Genomic DNA, 22,422 nt, shown 5'->3' on the forward strand with positions numbered 1-22,422 from the left:
TGAGGCAGAGAGAAGGTCAGGAACTTGCTCAAAGTTGTACCTAACAAGGAGTAAAGTTTATATGTGAAAAAAGACAGTTTGACTCTAGAATTCATGTTTTTATTCTCTCTTCTATGGCTTCTCATGTTGGATACTGTTTTAGAGCACCAGGCTGTAACAGTTATAGTGACAAATAAGCATAGATTTAGGAGGAATATCTGAGTCATGAGGGGTCTGGAGGTTAATTTTCTTAACAGATGAATAAAATATCAAGAGGGGAAAGGAAGACAATGGGGGCATGGTAGGTGTCTTTAAAGATGTCAAGAACCATAGGATATTCTCAGCCAATGGTTGCAGGGGAGAGGGCACAGATATTCTCAAGAGCCAGATTTCAGCTGGGTATGAAGTAGAACTTAAAAAAGATCGGAGGTGACCACTATGAAGTGATCTTCCTCAAGCTGGATGAAGACAGAATTCAGGCATTGGTAGGGGGATGAACTGAGTAACTTTAAACTACTTTATGTGATGTGTAGATGTAAAATTGTTAGAGAAATTCTTTTTTTTGATGGACCTCCAATCTGTTAAATGTTACATCCATTGAATCACTGGATATACCATATTGTAAAGCAATTTAATAAAAATACATTTTGCTTATTAAATAAAAATGATTAATGTACTGTGGAAACTACTAGCTAAGAACTGATAATGTAAAATTTCATCTTGCTTACTAAAACTCATCTGTCATAATAAGAAATTTTAATATAGAGTCCACTTTTATATCAACATTTTTCTATAACTAACCATCATTAATATACTTTAAAAATCTAGTGAAACAGATTTCCACTAGACACAAAACACATTTCCCTGAAACACGTGCTTTTCAAAAAGATGTTGTTTTTGTTTTTTTTTTTCTTTTTTCTTTTGAGATGGAATCTCACTCTGTCACCCAGGCTGGAGTGCAGTGGCGTGATCTCAGCTCACTACAAGTTCCACCTCCTGGATTCAAGTGATTCTCCTGCCTCAGCCTCCTGAGTAGCTGGGGTTACAGGCAGGCACCACCATGCCCGGCTAATTTTTGTATTTTTAGTAGAGACGGGGTTTCACCATGTTGGTCAGGCTGGTCTCAAACTCCTGACCTCGTGATCCGCCCGCCTCGGCCTCCCAAAGTGCTGGGATTATAGGCGTGAGCCACTGCACCCAGCCAAAAAGATGTATTTTTGAGATATATTAAATGAACGCCTTATTTTGTTTATAGTGGATTTGTTGTTGTTTTGTGACAGGGTCTTGCTCTGTCACCCAGCTAAAGTGCAGTCGTGCTATCATAGCTCACTGTAGCCTTGAACTCCTGGGCTAACGTTATCCTCCTGCCTCAGCCTCCTGAGTAACTAGAGCTATAGGAGCATGTTACCAAGCCTGGCTAATTTTTAAAAATTTTTTGTGGAGGCACAGTCTTGCTATATTGCCCTTGCTGTTACCTCCTGGTGCCAAAAAATCCTCTCACCTTGTCCTCCCAAACTGATTGATAGGATTACAGTCATCAGCCACCATACCCAGCCTTTATAGTACTTTAAATTCAGATTTCTTTGCTAATATCACTACTATACACCCATGCAAGGATATATTTTTACCAGATGTTGTGGGTAAAGAGAATGCTGAAATATGGATGACCTGTTTGTGCTTTTTTTTCCCTCACCAGAGAAATGTTTGAATGCGTCCTTGTGCTTCTTGAATTAGTATTTTATTTTGACTGAGATAAGAACGTTATTTAACTTTTATTTTCACCGTGTCTAGCAAAATATTTCCAATAATATGCTCCATTGATTCTTTGGTGGTTATAATAATCATAAAATACAAGTTGATTTTAAATTCAGACTTTAGATCCTCAGAAACTTCTGGATAAACACATAGGTAATAACAAGCAGGGATCCCTTATAGATTTTTTATTTTTTGTTAGAAATAGAAATAGTTGAAAAGAGTTTCTGCTCTTTGGACACATGTGCAGGACCCAATATGTGCTATTTTCTTGAAAAAAGGAATGGACCGCTAATGAACATTATTAAAGTTGGACCATTTATTGTCCTAGGCAAAAATTAGGTCACTGATGTCTCCGGCACAAGAATGAAAGTTGATTACCTCAACCGGAAATGAAAAGGAGACCAGCATGACTATTGCACCCTGAGTTCTGAGTACTCACAACGCAGCTGGTTTGGGTCATAAATTACTTGTTAATTGTGTATTTCTTTTTTAGAAGAAAAAGGAAATGATAGGCTTCTTTTTTTCCGATCTCCACCTGCCTGTCATTGGTAGGTGGCATAATGATCTGAGAGAGCTGAGGAAATTGCTGTTCAGAACTTGGACTAGTTTTAGGTCAGAGGATTGCTGGTCTTCATTTCCTAATTTGCCAAAGAAAATCTCCCTGCAAAATGAACCTGAAAACTCACAGACATATCAAATACTTTCTTGTTCAGGCCTCGTTTATTCTTCAGCATATGTTACTGTGAGTAATATATGTATATTTGTGATCACTTTTCAATATGTATAGTAATATTAGACCATAAATATAAATAATAATAATAGATGTTTATGGAGTATGAAAACTCTGTTCTAGTAATTACCAAATTAGTTACCAAACAGGACTTAAAAGAAAAATGATGTTAACAAATAGCTGCTATTTACTAATCCCTGACCATGTATCAGCAGTATGCTATGCACTTCACATCTATAAACTTTATTTAAACCTCAAAACAGCCCTCTGTGTAAGACTCTTTTTTTTTAGGTCCATTTACTAATGAGAAAACAGAGGTACAGATATTTATAACAATTTCCCCAAAGTCATATATTTAGGACATGGAAGTTGGAATTTAAAATGAATTTGTCAGAATCTCAAGCCTATCCTCTTATCCACTTTACTGTCTTCCCCTACTAAAAATAACCCTGATGAATGCATATCTTACTCGTCTTCCTGCTCTATTCCATCACGGTGCAATTCAGTTGGAAAGGAGGCTGATGTCAAGAAGTCAGAGGGCGCACTCTGTTGGCATCCGCTTCCTGACAACCCCACCAAGGGGTTTTTCAGACCATATTTAAATTCTTCTGATAAAACAGAGCTCAAATCGCCTAAGAAAGCAATTTTACCTTCATATCTATTATCATTTGACAAAATAAATTCTCCTGGGAGAATAAAAGAACAAAATAAAATGATCTTTTCTATAGAGTCCTACAGTTTACAAATTCCACATGCCTTATTTAATTTTAATCTCCAAGTTATCTCTATGTTCGTTTAAGTATGCATTGTTAAAATTATCCCTATTTTATAGATACTGAAACTCTCCAAAAGATTAGGTGGCTTCATTTAATCAGCCATTCAGTAAACTTTTATCTGTGCCTTCTATATTCCCAGTACCCTTTAAACTATTAAGGATAGATAAATAAATAGAATGTAGGTCTATTCTTGAGGTCTTTAGAAAGCATGGCATTCTAGGGCTACAATCCCTGAGCACTACCCTTCTGCCTTTCTTAGTAGTTGTCAGAACTCAGTCACATGATCTCACCTAGATGCAAAGGTGCCTGGGAAGTAAAATTTTGCTGAGTGCCCAGGAGAGAAATGAAATGGTTATATAGATATAGTATCTGCTCTGCTTCACTTAAGATTTAATAATTAATTATTAATATCATAACAGGTTACAAGATAAAATATCATATGATTATCTCCACAGATAAAAATAGTAATAATAAAATGTAACACCCATTCCTGATATTAAAATGAAAACAAAACAATTCTTAGTAAATTAGGAATAGAGGGGAACCCCTTGAAATGTTAAAGAGCACAGTATCTTGTTAAAAAAAACCTCCAGCCATCATCATAACCAGTGATGACATATTAAAAGCATCCATTTTACTACTAGGACTAAGTTAAGAATATTTACTATCATCACTTCAATTTAGCATTTTATTAATGACCCCTTGTCAGCACACAAATAAATAAGGAAATCTCCTTCACCTGATATACAACTTCAGCAAAGTCTCAGGATACAAAATGTACAAAAATCACTAGCATTCCTATATACCAACAACTGTCAAGACACAAACCAAATCAGGAACACATGCCTATTCACAATTGCCACTAAAAGAATAAAGTACCTAGCCAGGGAAGTGAAAGATCTCTACAAGGAGAACTACAAACCACTGCTCAAAGAAATCAGAGTTGATACAAACAAATGGAAAAACATTCCATGCTCATGGATAGGAAGAACTAATATCATTAAAATGGCCATATTGCCCAAGTAAATTTATAGATTTAATGCTTTTTCTATCAAATTACCAATGACATTCTTCTCTGAACTAGAAAAAAACTATTTAAAAATTTATATGGAACTAAAAAAAGAGCCCAAATAGCCAAGGCAGTCCTAAGCAAAAAGAACAAAGCTGGAGGAGTCATGCTATCCAACTTCAAATTATACTACACAGCGAAAATAGCCTGGTACTGGTACAAAAACAGACACATAGACCAATGGAACAGAATAGAACCCAGAAATAAGGTCGCACACGTACAACCATCTGATTTTCAACAAAGCTGACAAAAGCAAGCAGTGGGGAAAGGACTCATTCAATAAATGATAGTGAGATAACTGGCTAGCCATATGCAGGAGATTGAAACTGGACCCCTTCCTCATAACATATACAAAAATCAACTCAAAATGGATAAAATGTAAAAACCCTGGAAGACAACCTAGGCAATATCATTCTGGACATAGGAATAGGCAAATATTTCGTGACAGAGACACCAAAAGCAAAAATTGACAAATGGGATCTAATTAAACTAAACAGCTTCTGCACAGCAAAAGAAACTATCAACAGAGTAAAGAGAAGACTTACAGAATGGGAGCAAAATTTGCATACTATGCCTCTGACAAAGGTCCAACATCTAGCATCTATAAAGAACTTCAAAAAATTTACAAGAAGAAAACAAGCCCCATTAAAAAGTGGACAAATGGCATGACCACTTTTCAAAAGAAGACACACATGCAGCCAAAAAGCATATGAAAATACAGGTCGACATCACTGATCATTAGAGAAATGCAAATCAAAATCACAATGGGACACCGTCTCATACCAGTCAGAATGGCTGTTATTAAAACGTCAAAAAATAACAGGTGCTGACGAGGTTGCTGAGAAAAAGGAATGCTTATACACTCTTGGTGGGACAGAACTACCATTTGACCCAGCAATCCCATTACTGTGTATGTACACAAAGGAAGATTAATCATTCTGTCATAAAGACAATACATGTGTAAGTTCATCGAAGCACTACTCACAATAGCAAAGACATGGAATCAACCTAAATACCCATGTAGATTAAATAAAGAAAATGTAGTACACATATACCATGGAATACTATGCAGCTATAAAAGAACAACAAGATCATGTCCTTTAGAGGGACATGGATGGAGCTGGAGATCATTATCCTTAGAAAACTAATGCAGGAGCAGAAAACCAAATACCAGATGTTCTCTCGTCAGCACCAGCTAAATGATGAGAACACATGAACACAGAGGGGAGCAACAGACACTGGGGCCTATTGGAGGATAAAGGGTGGAAGGAGGGAGAGGAGTGGGAAAAATAACTATTGGGTACTAGGCTTAGTACCTGGGTGACAAAAAAATCTATATAAAAAACCCCCATGACAAACCCGGACACGTACCCCTGAACTTAAAACTTAAAAAATCAACCTTATAGCGAAAGTATTAATGTTTTTGTGAAATATGTTGTTTTCTCTGCATATTACTTTTATTTTTAATTTTAATCTATGAATAGATAAAATATTATCTTAGTTTAAAAATGAAAACTATTAAAAGTTTACATCAAATTGATTTTTTAAAAATCAAATTCAGAATGTCAAAAGCAACTGTGTGATTAAGTCCCAAATTGCTTCTTCCTGCTGAGACATTGTTCTCCCTATGAAACTTTCTAAATTTAAGATTCAAATATGTGGAAAATTATTAACGTAGCTATAAAACAATTTTACTTGGTTGTTAAAAAATTAGCAAGGTCATTGTATTCAGCGTTATCAGGTTATTTTGGTACACCAGACTTAGAGATTATATAGCTTCTTCCAAGGTTAATTCTAGGTCCTTTCCACTTAATTTTTTAAACACACAGAGGGTTTATTAGTTAATTAAAATAAGATCTCAAATGAGGCTATTTTATCATCAATTTTCTGGTCCACAGATAATAGCTTATTGGGCCCTTCTCTTTAGAGTCCTAGAGTTTCGCATAGTAAATATTGCATAGCTATGACCATTTTTCGCTCTTCACATTTCTGTTTCATAATGAGACACAAACTTCAAAACCCTCCCTATTCTTTTTCTTTTTATCTTATTGCCATAGACTTTGCTTCAGACATGTGTCATTTACCAACCCCTGAACAGTTCACATTTCTTTTCCTAGTTGAGAAATAATAAAAGTTGTAAAATGACATTTAGTAATTGAACACGGTTTCTTGCCACAGATACTCTGCCTTGGGGTTCCAAGGACATTAACGTGACTGGTTTAACGGTTTCCTCCTGTTAAGAGAGAAGAGGGTGGGGTCAGAAAGGATTTTCTCTGGTTACCACCTCTCAGAATGCCTTGCACACCCTGGATTCTCCCCAAAAATGATTGACTAATTAACTGTTAGGACCATTTACCAGCATTTGAGTGTTTAGGGTGGACTCATTTTAAAACCCCAGCTGTTTACAGGCTCCTTTCTAGGTCATTGGAAGAGTTGTTGCCACCTTTTTTGTATTAGTTTCCCTTGGCTGTTGTAACAGATTGTCACAAATTTGGTGGATTAAAACAAAAGACATTTATTATCTCCTAGATAAGTCTGAAGTCATGGTGTGGAGGACTAGACTGTCTTCTGAGGGTTTGGGGGGATATCTGTCCCTTTTCATTTCCAGCTTCTGGTGACTGTCAGCAACCCTTGGCTTGTGGCTGTGTCACACCCATCTCTGCCTCCACGTTCATGTAGCCTCTCCTCTGTGTGAACCAAATCTCCCTGTCCCTCTTATAAGGACACTTTCTACTAGATTTAGGGTCTACCCAGATAATCCAGGAGAATCTCTCTGTCACGCTCTTTAATCACATCTGCAAAGGCCCTGTTTTCTAATAAAGTAATATTTCCAGGTTTCGGGGATTAAGACCTGACATCTTTCCGTGGCCATTATTCAGTAAGTGATACTATATTTACACATTTTCTAGGGCTGTCTTCCACAGTCCTTACTGCAAGGCAGAAAACTAAGTTTAAGGTTCCCAAATGCCCCTGTGCAACCCTGCCGTCTCCTGTCATTTTTGTTTGCTTTTAAAATGTATGTCTAGGCTGGGCGTGGTGGCTCACGCCTATAATCCCAGCACGTGAAGAGTCTGAGATGGGCAGATCGTTTGAGCATAGGAGTTTGAGACCAGCCTGGACATTATGGCAAAACCCCATCTCTACAAAAAATTTAAAAATTAGCCAGGCGTGGTGGCATGCACCTGGAGTCCCTGGAGTCCCAGCTACTCAGGAAGCTAAGATTTGAGGTGGCTTGAGCCTGGGAGGCTGAGGTTGCTGTGAGCTGTGATTTCACTACTGTACTCCAGCCTGGGTGAAAGAGTCAGACCCTATCTCAAAAAGATAAGTTCATTAATTAATAAAAACATATTTCTATGTTTTTCTTAGTGCACAAGTAATATGTACTCATTATTTTTTAAAAATATATTTTAAATAGAAAAATTTAGCAAAATAAAAATCATCTATAACCTGACTATCCAAAAATAACCTATATTAACAGTTTCATTTTTTTCTAAGCATGTTGGCATTTTCAACGTCCTACATCTATGTTTGATGGATAAATGAATAAGTGAAGGAGCCAATAAATCACAGGACGTCTGCCTTCACAGAAGATCTGGTTAAGGAAGTGGAGCTTGGACTCCTCAAGATCAATTGTGTCTCTGACTATCAGCTGCATGCTCCTCAAATTACTGGTGCTTTACCATTCCTTCTGTAAGATGACAATAGTTCTGGCACATAGTAAACCTCTGTAGATGTTACTTATTACAATTCAGGGTGGGAAAAGGCACTCCAAGTGGAGGAACTTGGAATGGAAATTGTTGGCAGGTGGTTTTGTGTCAACATTTGCATTAGTTTTCCTCTCAATTAAAATTTTTCAAAAATAACAAAGAGCACCTCAAGAAAGGTAGTGGGATGTTCCAGACAAATGTTGAATGCCTGTAATATTACAGAGTGGTTCATATAATACATGTATATTAAGAAAGCTAATTTCTAGGTCTCTTACAATTTTGAGAGTGTGATTGTAGACTTTTGGTTTTAGAATCAAGTCTTCCTTTCCCTCATTTCCAATGTGCCTCCTCTCACAATCGAGGAATGTCTCCATCCTCCAATGAATCAAAACATGTTGAAAAACAGAAGTGACCGTATGGTAGCTAGATTGGTGATGGCTATGCTCCCAAGAAGAATGCTCATGCAGGAAAACTCTATCTGAGAAGAAATTCATGTTCTCCTGTTCTGTCCAGTGTGGAAATTAACATGGGGTAAAGGATCCTCCGGTCTAAAAAGAAAGTGTTAAACGTTTTAAAATGAGTTATATCAGGGACACTCAAAATACTACATATCTTTTTCTCTATCAAAATTAATGCTCTCCTGTTAGTCTCCTAGGATCTGAATACCTGTAATATTAAATAATATAATGAAAACACTTTAAAATTAAATGAGCCCAGAATGATAATGCTTCTCAAGTGTAGATCTGCAGTTTACAATATAAAATAGCAAGATGAGACATCTGATTATTTGTTTCTATTTATTTGCTAATTATAAAATAGTCTCATACAATTATTTTTGTCATTTTAAATTTAAACAATGATTTGGAAATATTACATGTTTTCCTTGCTTTTGTGTTTTTATTAGCTGAGAATGTAGTACATTCTACAGTGTGTACGGCTTTATTGATAGTATGCTACAGTTTTCTATAAGGAAATTTATAACAATGCTTAGGTCAGTGTTCTCCCAAAAAATTATGCATCAGAATTACTAGGGTAGATTCCAAAATGGTTACCAATTTGCAAGTCTTCCCATCTCTTTTCTCCCCCTGGTAGTACCCCCAGGAATCTATGTAACTAATTTCAGAAGCTAAGAAGAACTTGATAACTATTTATAAAACTTCCCCAAACTGCTTTAATAGCAGCCATTGATTAGAAAGAGGAACATAAATTGGCTTAACAGCTAATGGTAAATCCTTAAAGCAGTTTGCATTTATTCCATTACTTTTTATTCACACAAATATGTATTAAGAATTTATCATGACAGAGTCTGCCTGGTGTTCCCTGAGCTTTAATTTTCTCATTTATAAAAAGAGAAATACCTATGTTACAGAGTAATTGGGTAAATTAATGACATAAATTACATGCAAAGTGTTTAGCAAAGTAATAGTCAAGAAATATCACTAATCATCCTTATCAACATCAAACGCTATGGTATTTATTATTAGATTGCTAATTAGAGGTTTACTTGTTTTACTAACTATTCTAGCCTTGCAAACACGATAGTAAAAACTGACTTCAAATTTTCTAGTTAGTTTATCTCTCTGTTTACTCACCTAGGTTATAATACTAGCAGATATATATTGAAACTTTACTACAATCATTTCATTATTTGGGGATTTGCAAAATATGGGCCCAAAATAGCTTAAAGGTCTGGTATATTAGATTTTTAAATATTAAAATAATAAATACTGTGTACCAGGCACTTTTGTACAAACTTCGCATGTATTAGCTAACAATGATGCCATGAAGTAGGATCTATTTTTATCCCATTTTACAGATGACGAACCTGAGGAAGGGGGAGAAATAGTTTGCTTGAAGTCATGTGACTAAAAGGTGTTAATGGGAACCTGAACCTAGGCAGTTTGACTCTAGAATAGATTTACTTAATCACAAAATTTACTGTTATCAGGAAATTATTATATAGCCAGAACACTTATGGTTACAATTTAATATTTTTCATAAGTGTACAGTATCCTGTTTCCTTTTCATAACAGGGCCTTAATATGTAATACCTGTTTTCAATTTTCTGCCTTCCCCGAGTAATTTTTGGATATAGGAATGCAAAGACTTTATTAGCCTTTCTCACCTTTATGTTCTCTGTGCCTAAGACAGGGCCTCAGACTTGCTACATGTTGTTTAATTAATATTTATTTAATAAATTCATGAAATTACTTGCTGTAAAGAAAAAAATTGAACCAACTTATATCGTTTTAATAAAACCTGTTGAATAATATTTATTTCATCTTGATCTCACTTTCGAACCTCTGTCTAATCTCATTAAAAATGGACATATATTGTCAAGCTGAGATTTTTCTAGTTCACTGTGATGCTCATAGTCATTGTTTATGCTGGAAAAAAATCTCAACATTGTGCTTATTAAACTAACAGAGCTATTACACATGCATGTTTTTTTTCCAATCCAAATTCCAAAGAATAAGATCCCTGTGCCTATTTTCAACAGCATCTACCCTTACCCCAATCTCTTGTGGTTTTGGCTCAGTGATCTGGTATTAACTAGATATGAGCTTTCTTTTTAATAGTAATTTTAGCTGACAGCAAACTACTAGTGTGGTTACAAATTGTGTCGCTTTTGCCAACTCTTAGCTGTCAAACTATAAAAGATTTTGTTTATCATATTTCATTTTGAAGTTTTAAAGATTCTTCATAAAAGGAATATTTCTTATCAGGAATAAAAATACGTATAATCCCATTTTGAATGTGCTGGTTAATTATTGTCATGAAATTATTGCCATATGTGCTGAACTCTTATCAAAAAGGTTCCATTTCCTTGTTGTACTTGAGCCTCTTCTCTCTGATCATCCAAAGTTTGCCATGAGGCATACTGAACATCAAGGGATAACATGCACTTACTTAGAAAACTCAAGACACTTGCACCCTGGTTCTTTTGTCACTCAGTATTCCAGCAAGTAATTGATAGCTTTGTCACAAAAGGGATAATTGAACAGTGTGTGATTAAAAAAAAAATTTACCAAGTGTTAGAAAGGTTAATGAAAACCAGTGGATAGGTAAAACACCCCTGGGTGAAAAACAGAGAGGAACCCCTGACCACTCTTAGCTCTACTGGAATTTGGGGAAGCCGGTGACTTTAAGATTTAGCCCAATACAAGTAGGACCATGTTGCAGCTAGCATGGAAGGAAACAGGTGAATAAATATCTTGACCTGTCTCTCTTGTGCTCTTCTGACATCCCGAAGTAGCCTCTCTAACCTAACCTGAAGCCAGAGATCAAGAGAGCTTGGTTTATGGAATTTATAGAGATTAATCTCTTAGAGTATGGAATAGAGTGAGGAGTGGAGAGAATATCTGGGGGAACAAACAGAGAATATCTATCGTATTTACTAAGAGAGAATTTTAAAATATCACATGGTTTTGGCTCAAGTGCATGGGGATGGGCCTTATGGAGCTTAAATCTTCCTAATTCCCATTTCTAACAGGGGAAATACTCTTCTAGATATAGAGAAAAATTGAAGTCATCTTTTACTCTTCCTTCTTTGTTTCCTGTTTAAGCTATGACTAGTTTCTGTACATGTTTCTTAACAATATATAATAATGCATCTGTAATGCAAATGTATACCATTTCTACTGCCAACACGTTTCTTGACCTTACCCTCTTATATCAAATTAATTGCTTTATGATAACAAACTTTTAAGAGTGTGGTATCATTAAATCTCCATCTGCTTTGCGCAAGAACCTACCCTGGCTCTCAGCTGCTACAGATACCAAGTGTAACATCCTCTGCCTAGGCTTAGAATTTCTACAACACATTCTCAGCACATGTAACCAACAATCTTCACTTCCTAATTATTCCTCCACATGGGTCTTTTGCTTATTGTAATGTACTCTGCACATATGGTTCTAATTTCTGCTTTGGTTGATGTTATTTCCTCCACTTTGAAAGATTAGCCCTTGGCCACTAAATCTTAAAACCCTACCTTCCTCTTAAAACCATTTCCTTTATATACTTTTCCTAACTAATCAGCCTGCCCTTATGACACTCTGTTCTTAAACTTTTATTATATTTACTTGATTTTCTAAATACTGTCACACTCATTTGTTTTAAAATTATGTACTGTGTTATTCTTGTACTGAGAGCAAAGAGTTTATTATTTATTTCTTTCACACACTTCACATCACCTGAGATATTTAAAGAAATAATATCTGACACATGGTAGTCTGTCAACATATTACTTTCGAGTTAGATTGGGCACCTGACTTGTACTTATTTATTAGTTCGTTGCTTCTTTGGTTAATTTAGAGCAGCTGTGGAAGAATTAACCAACTCACACAAACAAGCAGTGCATACTTTTTAATGACTAATTTATCTCTTAGGTATTTGCCCTAAAGGAATACATTAGGGAGAAGCTCAAAGACTTAGCTTCATGGATGTTCTTCATGTTCTTTACAACATAAAATGTTCCTTATAAGACAAAAATTATAAATGTATTACAGCAGTAGAGGATGTTAAAGTATGTATACTCAAGCAAGTACTATATAATTCAGCTTTTAAAAATGATGTAGATGACTACACTTGGCATAACAACAATACATGACTTTTAAGTTTTGAAGCAGATAATAAATATCTTTTTATTTTGATTACTGTTTTGTGAAAATTGCTCTGTATGTTTATACACACATGTATAAACACGTAAAAGTATGGGAGAATTTATATGGTGTTAACATTGGTTATCTGTAGTGGGTAAATTAGAGATTTTTGTTTGTTTACCTGCATTTTCAACACTATAAATATTGCTAAACACTTTGAAAATAACTATCACAATTAAGACATTTCCCTTAGTTATGGACTTTACAGAATTTCCATACAATGTGATCAAGTTAGCTATTTCAGTTAAAGGACTTTATTTTATTTACTGAATGACTTAGTAAATTAACCACAGTAAATGTTTGTCAATTACAGCATATCCTGCCCTAAGCCTTGTCTGTTGATATTTAAACTACTATTTTTATGTTACAATTTGTTTGAAAAACTTGTCAAAATATAAAATTTATATAATGTCAAATAAGAAAATGTTAATAAAAATTTCATCCAGAAGTAGCTGTTTCACATATACAAAAAGGACAACAAAGGATAGCATTACTTGGAGTTTTTAAATTACAAAATGTGATAGCTTAAGATTTCAAGGAGGTAGCATTTATGCTAGTGCGTTGCTTGAATTCAACTTATATGGCACATGTACAATTCAAGATCTTAAGTAGAACCTGAAGATATAGAACTAAACAGGAGTTATACATACACACACAAATACACATGTGGATAAAATGAATATTAGATGCTATGTTCTAAAACTGAGATAAATCACAAAATGAATTACTTCACAAAGTCATTTCAGTAAGTAGAATAAATTCTTAATTGAAACAATTATTTTTACCACATTATGTAGAAACCATATAGATTAAATGTATGTAATAAAAGGTCTTTATTACAATGAGTATCTTCAAAGTATCTAGCAATTTTTTAAAAATTACTTCAAAGGTAGGGAAACAAAATGGGAAACGGGATCTATAGGCCAGAGAAAACTAGATATGATAAAAAGCAGGAAAAGGTACTTCCTGGAGGAGGAGAACAAAGGCAATTCCTCCAACACCTCACCTTGTAAGGCATGGGGGGAGAGGAATACTTCTAACATACAATTTCTTGGGTTTTGGTTGGAGAGCGCTATGCTTTATCAGTCTAAGCCCAGAAGGAGGGAAATGGCTGAGGACTATAATTTTCTGTGCCAAACCAAGTAGGTTGAAAATTGAGTAAAATACTACTTTAGCTAAATATTACTATTTTTTGAGCTGGGAAAAATGGACAATATAATACAGTGGACAGGAGCATGGGCTTTTGAGTTCAGCACACTTAGTTTTTAACACTGGCTTCATTATGTTAACAGTTCCCATTCACTCAACAATACACATTTTTAGCCGTTAACTATATGCCAGGCAAAATGCTTGGCATTGGTAGTAAATTAGGGAGCAAAACACATATTATTTTTCCCTTACAGTTTAACGAGGGAGATGGACTTTAATCAATTCATCTTACAAATAACATAACTACATACAATGGTAAATCAGTCCAGGAAAAATTCAAGAATCTATGCAAGTATATTTTAGATGTAGACAATCTTAAAAATGGTATAAAATTGCCAGGGAAAGAATGTTGTCCTAAGGTAGATGGGAGCATGCTGCCATTTATAGAAGGGTAGTTGCTGGATGATAGAAAGCCATAGAAAGCAAAAAAGTGTAAGAGCAGAAACAAAAAAACCAAACATCGCATGTTCTCACTCATAGCTGGGAATTGAACAGTGAGAACACTTGGACACAGGAAGGGGGACATCACCCACCGGGGCCTGTTGTGGGGTGGGGGGATGGGGGAGGGATAGCATTAGGAGATATACCTAATGTAAATGACAAGTTAATGGGTGCAGCACACCAACATGGCACATGTATACATATGTAACAAACCTGCACGTTGTGCACATGTACCCTAGAACTTAAAGTATAATAATAATAATAATAATAAAAGAAAGATGTCAGAATATTCTGGAGAATTCAGTGAAGAGGCATTTGAAAAATTTCAGACAAGAGATAATAGTTGCCTGAAATTAGAGAGTGGTAGTAGTAGAGATACATAGTAGAGATAATGATTTCTATATTTCTGGCTTTTGCAACTGCATAGAAGAGGGTGACAGTCACTGAGCTGGGGAATACATAATGAGAGCCAGATTTACTTGCATTTTAATTTGACTAAGTTGAGTTTAAGACATCTTTGAGATAAGTGGAAATGTCAAATAAGCTTTTGAATGTATCTGAAGCTCAGAGTGTCCTAGATTAGAAATATTACTCCGATATTCATTGGCTTACAGTTGGTTATTGAAATCATAGGCCTGGATGAGATAGCCTGGAGAAAGAGAGTACTAGAGTCAGAAGAGAAGAAATTATTGGATAAATCTTTTTAAAAACTCTAATATTTAAAGGTCAATTAGAGTCAGCAAAAGACATTCAGACAACAGAGAAATTAGGGAAAAACCTAGAGAAAACAAAGAAACAAAGGAAAGAAGGTGCTTCAAGGAAAGAGTGGTCAATAGTGATGAACACTTCTAGAAAGTCAAGTCACTGAAAAGTGAACATTATCAAACACGCAGCTTGTGAGTCATGTAAGTGGAATGCTGGGTGCATCAACCAGGCTGCAGTGGGTACAGTGAAGAAATAGATTCAGTATAGACAGTAGGCAAACAAAAAAATAGAATAGCGGGAAGTCAAAGTACTTTTTTTAATGACACAGACTTTTAAGTATATCTCAGCACTGAATGAAATGATCCACTAAAGAGAGAAATTTAAAGATAGAGAAAGGATAGCTGGGCGTGGTGGCTCATGCCTGTAATCCCAGCATTTTGGGAAGCCGAGGCAGGTGGATCACCTAAGGTCAGGAGTTCGAGACTAGCCTGGCCAACATGGTGAAACCCCATCTCTACTGAAAATACAAAAATTGGCCGGGTGTGCTGGCAGATGCCTGTAATCCCAGCTACTCAGGAGGCTGAGGCAGTGGAATTCTTGAACCCGGAAGGCAGAGGTTGCAGCGAGCCAAGATCATGCCATTACAATCCCACCTGGGTGACAAGAGCAAAACTCCATCTCAAAAAACAAACAAAAAAAAAAAAGAAAAGGAAAAGAAAGAAAAGGAAAGAAAGAGAAGAGAGAAGAGATAATCAAGAGAAGGCTTATCACAACTATGTCTAAGTCTACCTTGTTTTCACAGCTATAAAATGGGGAAAAGAATATCTACCTCATAAGATTATACTACCAATTAAATAATATGGTGCGGGTAGAATGCTTAGTAAAATTTCTGGCACACAGAATGTGTTTAATAAATTGGTGCTTAAGATGAATCTAGCAGCTAACATACATATTAGTCTTATACATATTAGATGCTCAACAAGTATTCGTTAAATCTTGAGTGAACATGATTCTGGCACATAATTTTTGATTATTGGGAATATAAAAGATTCTGATGCATCTTACTGTATACTGGGTTATAGCTACACCTTGGATATTCACTGATTATAATGATGATATATGATGTTTGCTCTCTGATGATGTTGATGTTTTGGGTATTTGTTTTCACAGGGTACTATTTTTCTGCCTGGAAATAAAGTTTCTGAGCATCCCTGCAATGAAGAGAACCCAGGGAAGTTCCTTTTTGAAGTAGTTCCAGGTAAGATATTTTCCTAGTCTGATTAAATTATTGTCATCCTGTGTTGGTAAAGGTGAAGATGGGTCAGACAGGTTTCATTCTTTTTTGAATCATGACTGAGAACCTTAATTTGAGGCTTGGTTAGTGTTGACGCAGATAATGACTGCAGGTTTATATACTAGTACAAATGAATGCACTCACACACACATACTCTGACCACATAACTACTGGATTTTCATTTGTCCATGAGACTCCATAGTTGACCACAAGTCATGATACAGTATTTGTTCAGGACTATTGGAGATGAATTTGATTTTACAGCGCTCTTGTGATGTGAAATTTGACAAGGGGTTATAGGTTGAATGCTTTGCCCAGTGGAATCACTGACATATTTCCTCACAAAATTGTATCTTCAAGGAGGTTTTGCAAAAAACAAAAAAAAAAACAAAAAACAAACAAACAAAAAAAAACAACTCTTACTACTTAATACTTGTAATACTGACCAAGTATTACAGTTCTGTACCTCAGCTTTGCTCCCAACCAACCACTTCCACATGTTTTGCTGGTAGAGCTGAGGACAGCTCTGCCAAGACATCAAATCCCTCAGTTAAACTTTTGAAACATCCTTTCGTTTTTCCTAGTCATCTGTATTCATTCCTCTTAGTGAACCTGATCTCCACTAAAGTCTTTGACTAACCCAGCAACAATTCCTCCAAGGCCATGTTGTCTACCTCTTTGATCAATTCTTCAACTTTTCCTTATCCCTCAATGTAAGAAAAAGGGAGGTAGGAATCTGGCTCCGGTTGACCGTTTGTGTAATATTGATATTGATTTGATCACAGTCTAGGGTGGATGTGAATTTATTTGGGTAAGTAATGTGGAGTTCTTATCAATAATGCAGTCAATAAAATGTATTTTTCCTATATTTATATTAAATGCTGGGAATCTAAAATGGAAAAGCATATTTTCCCCTCGATGAAAACAGCTGTGGCACTAAGTTCATCTGGCTCATGATGGAATCCATGACTAAATGTGAATTAATGCAGCTGAAGTGCAGAAAGGTTAGTCAGATGCAATGTGTTATTTGTTTCCCTCCAGGGAGAACATATTTTAAGAAACCTGAATCTTATTTGCCTTATTAAAATCCTTTTATTCTTACTTCTTAGTGGAATACCCTGTATAGAACCAGATTCCAGATGTTACAAAGTCTTTGAAGTATCAGTAGAGGAAATGTCTTTTCCGATTTATTCTCAGACAATAGCGCATGTTGGCTTTTAAATCAGCGTGGTATTGAACTGATGGTTGACTCTTTATCTCCAATAATGCTAGAGGTCTACTTTTCCATTCAGTCTGCTAGCTGCAAGGAGGTTTCATCTTTTGGTGAAGAAGTTCTCAAGTAATATAGACGGATATTTTCAATACTGTTTTAGAGAGAGCCATGTCTTCAAGACCAGGAAGTAACAGATAAAACCTCTTCTCCAACATTGCTATTCTAAATCATCTGTTTCACATGCAGTGCGTATGACATAATGGCTTTTGATGAACAAAGCCTAAGAAGTTTAAGACTGTGTAATATGGAATATGAAGGTTGTCCTTTCAAACAAATTTATAGGAAATTCAAGCTTGCTTCTGTAATTATGGACTTAAATATAGTATGTGAGTAGATCATTTGAAAAGATGCTTCCTGAATTATTAATACAGTATGTAATAGCTGCTAAATTAGGTTTTATAATTCTAAATCATCTTACGGAGTGTGAAGAGAAGTGTTCCAAATGTATCTTTGAAGACAGAGCTGGAAAGACAAAGCACTACATTGAGAATCCAGTGTCTGTGTCATTCATCCTGGTCACTGGGGCTTTACTGGTGTGCCCTTGACATCAGGATGGCATTTCTAGGCAAATGCTTTTGTACTTCTGTGATAATGTGGGATCTGTATCAGGTTATTTTCATCAATATTTGCATTATTGGGGTTATTTAGGGATAACATAACAATTACTTTATCTTTGCAAATGGGAATGACAAGATAATATTTTTCAATTTTTTCAATGGTGTAATTGTTTAACATGATAATTTGGGATGTTACAACAGAGTGTTTTTATTTGTCAGAATGCATAGGAGGCAGCAAGGATTGCAGAAATGTGGTTGGTAATGTGTATAGAACCCTCGGCAGGCCGTGGGCCTACCTGGCAGCAGATCCTCATAAAGCATATTTATTCTAGATTGGCTTTCTCTATAAAATTCTTTCAATTGCCACTTCTGAAAATCTATCATAAAGATGATGCTTACAAACCCAACAAGTGTCTATCTTTACGGATAGCTAACTCAAGCCTAACTCTCCAGAGTTTATGAGTGAGTAGGAGAGGATTACATATTTTAATTTCATCTGCCCATAATGATTTCCAACAAAACTAACAAAAGCCTCTAGCAAGCTCTTTGCCATATATTTTAGCACTATATGCATACGTACACATTTGTGTGTGTGTTACGAATACAGTTTATCCATATGTGCACTGTATGTCCTTATAATTTTTCCATGTGTGTATATATATATATATATATATATATATATATATATATAGGAATTTTTATTTTGTTTTATTTTTGCTTTTGCTTTATGCTGAAATATCCCATGAAACCAAGGAAAATCATATTAAAAAAACAAGAATTTTCAATAAAATTGAGCGTCTCAGGTCTTTGTGTATTACTTATTTATATTTGTTTACAAATTATATTTGTATGCATATTTTAGGCTTTTGTAAAAACCTATCTGAAAATAAATCTACCATGTTTTAGGGTTGATTTCCTATAGATTCATTATCCTATGAAATGAATTATCTCTCTGAATAATGCCATGAGTTATAGATTTTTCGCTCCAAATTTTTCCTATTTCTCTACTTGTTATTCAAAGGGATATCAGCCAAATTGGCAAATTTGAAGTCTTCTCTTTCAGACATGCCAAATTTTAGACTGAAGTGAACTATTATGGCCAAAGTCCAAGCTTTTGGGAAATGTGGTTGAGAAAGAAAGATTGGCAAATCTTTAATGAACAGTTCTTGAAGAAAGAACATGCAGTTGGTTTCTGCTTCTCTAAATGTGTTCTAGTTGAATTTTCCTTGAAATGTTTTAAAAAAATAAAGAGTAGTTATTGGAATAATGATGCCTTAGCTTTCTTAGGAAAGAAGTTTCTCAGAGAAAAAAATAAAATGACAAAGAAACAGACAAGAAATAGGCAAAACAAGACAAAGGAGGACTATATGTATCTCCATATATTTAGAAACCACATCTTTCTTGCTTTTTACTGTATACCTAACACCTGGAAATAGCACAGTATAACATATGGTGCTAAACAAATATTTCTTGAAGTGCATATATTTACCAGGCTTATGGAAGAATCTCAGTCATATGAAACTGCCCCCACTCTGCTATGTTGAACTATTTCCTGTTGCATAGGACCTTTTCTCCCCTGTTCCCGCAAAGACCTCTTTGTCACTCTAGTGGCAAAAGTGAAGAGAAACTCCTTACATGTTTCCTTTCCTACTTTTCTGCCTTCCTTTCTGATGATGAGACCAAGAGACGGATGGAAGAAGGTAGAGATCTTCCTACACAGATGATACTGCTGGGGCATAGCCCCTTCACACTGACTGGTCGTTACAGACTTTCCTCTCTAAAGGCTGAATCTTTCACAGATGCATTTGTGGATTTTTCAGGGTCTCTGGAATTAGAAATCCACTTCACATGCTAGTATTCTCCCAGCATTGGGATAGTCCTGTTGGATGGGATACAGCGAAAGGCCTCAAAGGCCAGCTGCTTGCTTTGTGTTTATTCAGCAACTAGGAAACTCATGTACCCTGGCCTGCAACGTAAGGGAAATGCAGGCTGTTCCACTGTTGCTGCCTCCTTTGGCTTGTCACTTTCTCCAGGGGTTATCAGCTTCAGTGCCCAGCAAGGTCAGTGGCTTGCCAAGCTTCAGAGGCCATCATGAGTCCCTGACTTAGAGAAGGAGTGAGTCACTGTTCTAACACACATCAAAATTTACCAGCAATACTCTTGTTCTGATAGTTGGGAGAATTCCTAGTCCTCCCCCTCAAAAACCAGTGCTGATTTTGAAAACTGCTTCCTCCAAGTAGCACTTCCTCTTTTCTAGTTTCCCCCTCAAAACAGTCAGGGCCATTTGGGTTCTCAGAAGTGCAATGCTTTCTCTCAGTAAACCTGGCAGAGAAGTGGCTAGGTGCAATTTCCATCGGTCTTTTCAGCTTAGAATGTGGAGTTTTAGCCTCTTTTGGGGGGTGGGGGGTGGACCTTAGCTGCAGTTCCTGGATAATGGGGATAAAACGTTTTATTTACATCTATCTATAATCTTAGATTGGATTCCAGGAAACACGCTGATGGAGAATGACATTAGATTGTCATGGGAAAGGTTCTCCGAAGATATTTTTTCTGCAAGAAAGTGAGGAAAGCAGGATGCGACAGGAACACCTGCCCTGCAACGCTGTAGCAACTGAAGTCTTAGCTGATCCAGTGGGGTCCCCTGAGGCGGTGATCCCTCTCAAGTTTGCTTCAAACTGAGGGGCTGGGGCTTTGTTTCCTCTTGCTAACTAGTCATTGATTGGGAGCAGGAAGACAGATAAACTTGGGTGAAGCTGTTCCTGCTGCGTTGTAGAACAATTCCCATGAGAATCTCTTTGTGCCTTCAGCAACCAATATACCAGTCTTTGGGATCTAGAGAGAGTACTACAGTATCCGTTATAATGTCTGTAGCCTTATCAGTATCTAGACATCTGTATTCCAGGCAATGTTCCAGGCTGTTTGCACGTATCGCTTTATTTAATCCTTACTACAACTCTATGAGGCAAGCAATGTCATTATCTTTATTCTGCAAACGACAGATCTGAGGCACAGAGAAGTAATTTGATCCAGGTTAAAAAGCTAACACTGGGCCAGGCGCTGTGGCTCACGCCTGTAATCCCAAAATTTTGGGAGGCCGAGGTAGGGGTATCACCTGAGGTGATCCTGAGGTTGGGGCTTGGATCCAAGGTGGGGGGATCCTGAGGTTGGGACTTGGAGACCAGCCTGACCAACATGGAGAAACCCCGTTTCAATAGAATATTAAAACACAAAATTAGCTGGGCGTGTTGGTGGGCGCCTATAATCCCAGCTACTCAGGAGGCTGAGGCAGGAGAATCCCTTGAACCCAGGAGGCGGAGGTTGTGGTGAGCAGAGATCTCACCATTGCACTCCAGCCTGGGTGACAGAGTGAGACTCCATCTCAAAAAATAAAGTAAAAAAGGCCTGGAGCCTATTTTCTGAAATATGAGCATGTGAAGTTATTTTTTGAACTGGAATGGATACACTGGTATCTTTCCAGACTCATTCATTAAGAATGAGAATTTTGGCACTTGATAAGAGTAGGCATTTTTGTTTTTTAGCACCTATTTATAATACAATATATAATACAAATAGGCACTAGATAGAGATGCCCACTTACAGTTCTTTTGAAAGCATGTTCTAAGGCTACAACAATCCCATCATGAAAAAGTGGGGAGAAACAGACATTTTCCAGCAGTGATCTTCCTTATTATGAATAAAGGTAACAAAGGTGGATTCTACGGATGGAGTGCTTTCTTATAGACAACTGTCAACGCTCTGGGATCCAATTCTCTTTCATTACCGAGTATACATTGCTGAAATTGTTCTCAGCTTCTTCACAAACTCCCTTCACATACTGGCCAAGCTATCACTCACTGTCTAACCACCAACCAACACACCTGATATTAATCATATGCTGGGACTCAGTCCATCCACCAAGCAAAGATTCTTCATGGCTTTCAAGGGCAATTGTCAATATTCCAGACCCTAAAAGGCCCATCTGACCCAGTGCCTAAAATCAATATTAACTAAAAGTAGGAGGTGTTCTTTCCTCTTCCTTCCTCCAGGGAAAGAAAAGAAGAGGTGAACACAAAAGACAAGGGGATGAGGAATGAAAAGTAGCCATGGAAAAAAATAAGATAAATTTTGAAGGATAATCTAAAGTGATTTTTATCTGCCTGGAAACAAAATTAGGCCTTCAAAAAAAAAAAAGATGTTATTTATCCTACCTTTAGCCACAACTATACTAATTATTTCCAATACCCTCAGACAATTACATGTTACTT

At 36.3% G+C, this 22,422-nt stretch overlaps 1 protein-coding gene, 1 long non-coding RNA gene and 1 other non-coding gene across 4 annotated transcripts in view, besides 1 other annotated feature; all 3 read left to right on the forward strand.

Moving 5' to 3' along the window:
- Positions 1-22,422, forward strand: part of ARHGAP24 (Rho GTPase activating protein 24) — a 527,517-nt gene that overhangs the window by 230,532 nt on the left and 274,563 nt on the right. For both annotated transcript variants that reach the window (NM_001025616.3, XM_024454238.2), the window contains one exon: positions 16,204-16,291. In NM_001025616.3, coding sequence (NP_001020787.2) covers positions 16,204-16,291 — 88 coding nt within the window. The remainder of the gene's footprint in view (positions 1-16,203; positions 16,292-22,422) is intronic.
- Positions 2,011-2,160: an enhancer, noted in NCBI's record as "active region_21694". NCBI's record gives its function as "activates an Ori minimal core promoter by ATAC-STARR-seq in GM12878 lymphoblastoid cells {active_cell/tissue: GM12878}" and the evidence as "EXISTENCE:reporter gene assay evidence [ECO:0000049][PMID:35858748]".
- Positions 16,309-18,963, forward strand: LOC124900728 (uncharacterized). Its single transcript, XR_007058169.1, has 2 exons — positions 16,309-17,331; positions 17,437-18,963. It is a non-coding gene; the product is annotated as an uncharacterized LOC124900728 (long non-coding RNA).
- MIR4451 (microRNA 4451) lies at positions 16,787-16,852 on the forward strand. The gene has a single exon (NR_039656.1). It is a non-coding gene; the product is annotated as a microRNA 4451 (primary transcript).

Source organism: Homo sapiens, chromosome 4 (genome assembly GCF_000001405.40).
Source record: "Homo sapiens chromosome 4, GRCh38.p14 Primary Assembly".
NCBI lineage: Eukaryota > Metazoa > Chordata > Mammalia > Primates > Hominidae > Homo > Homo sapiens.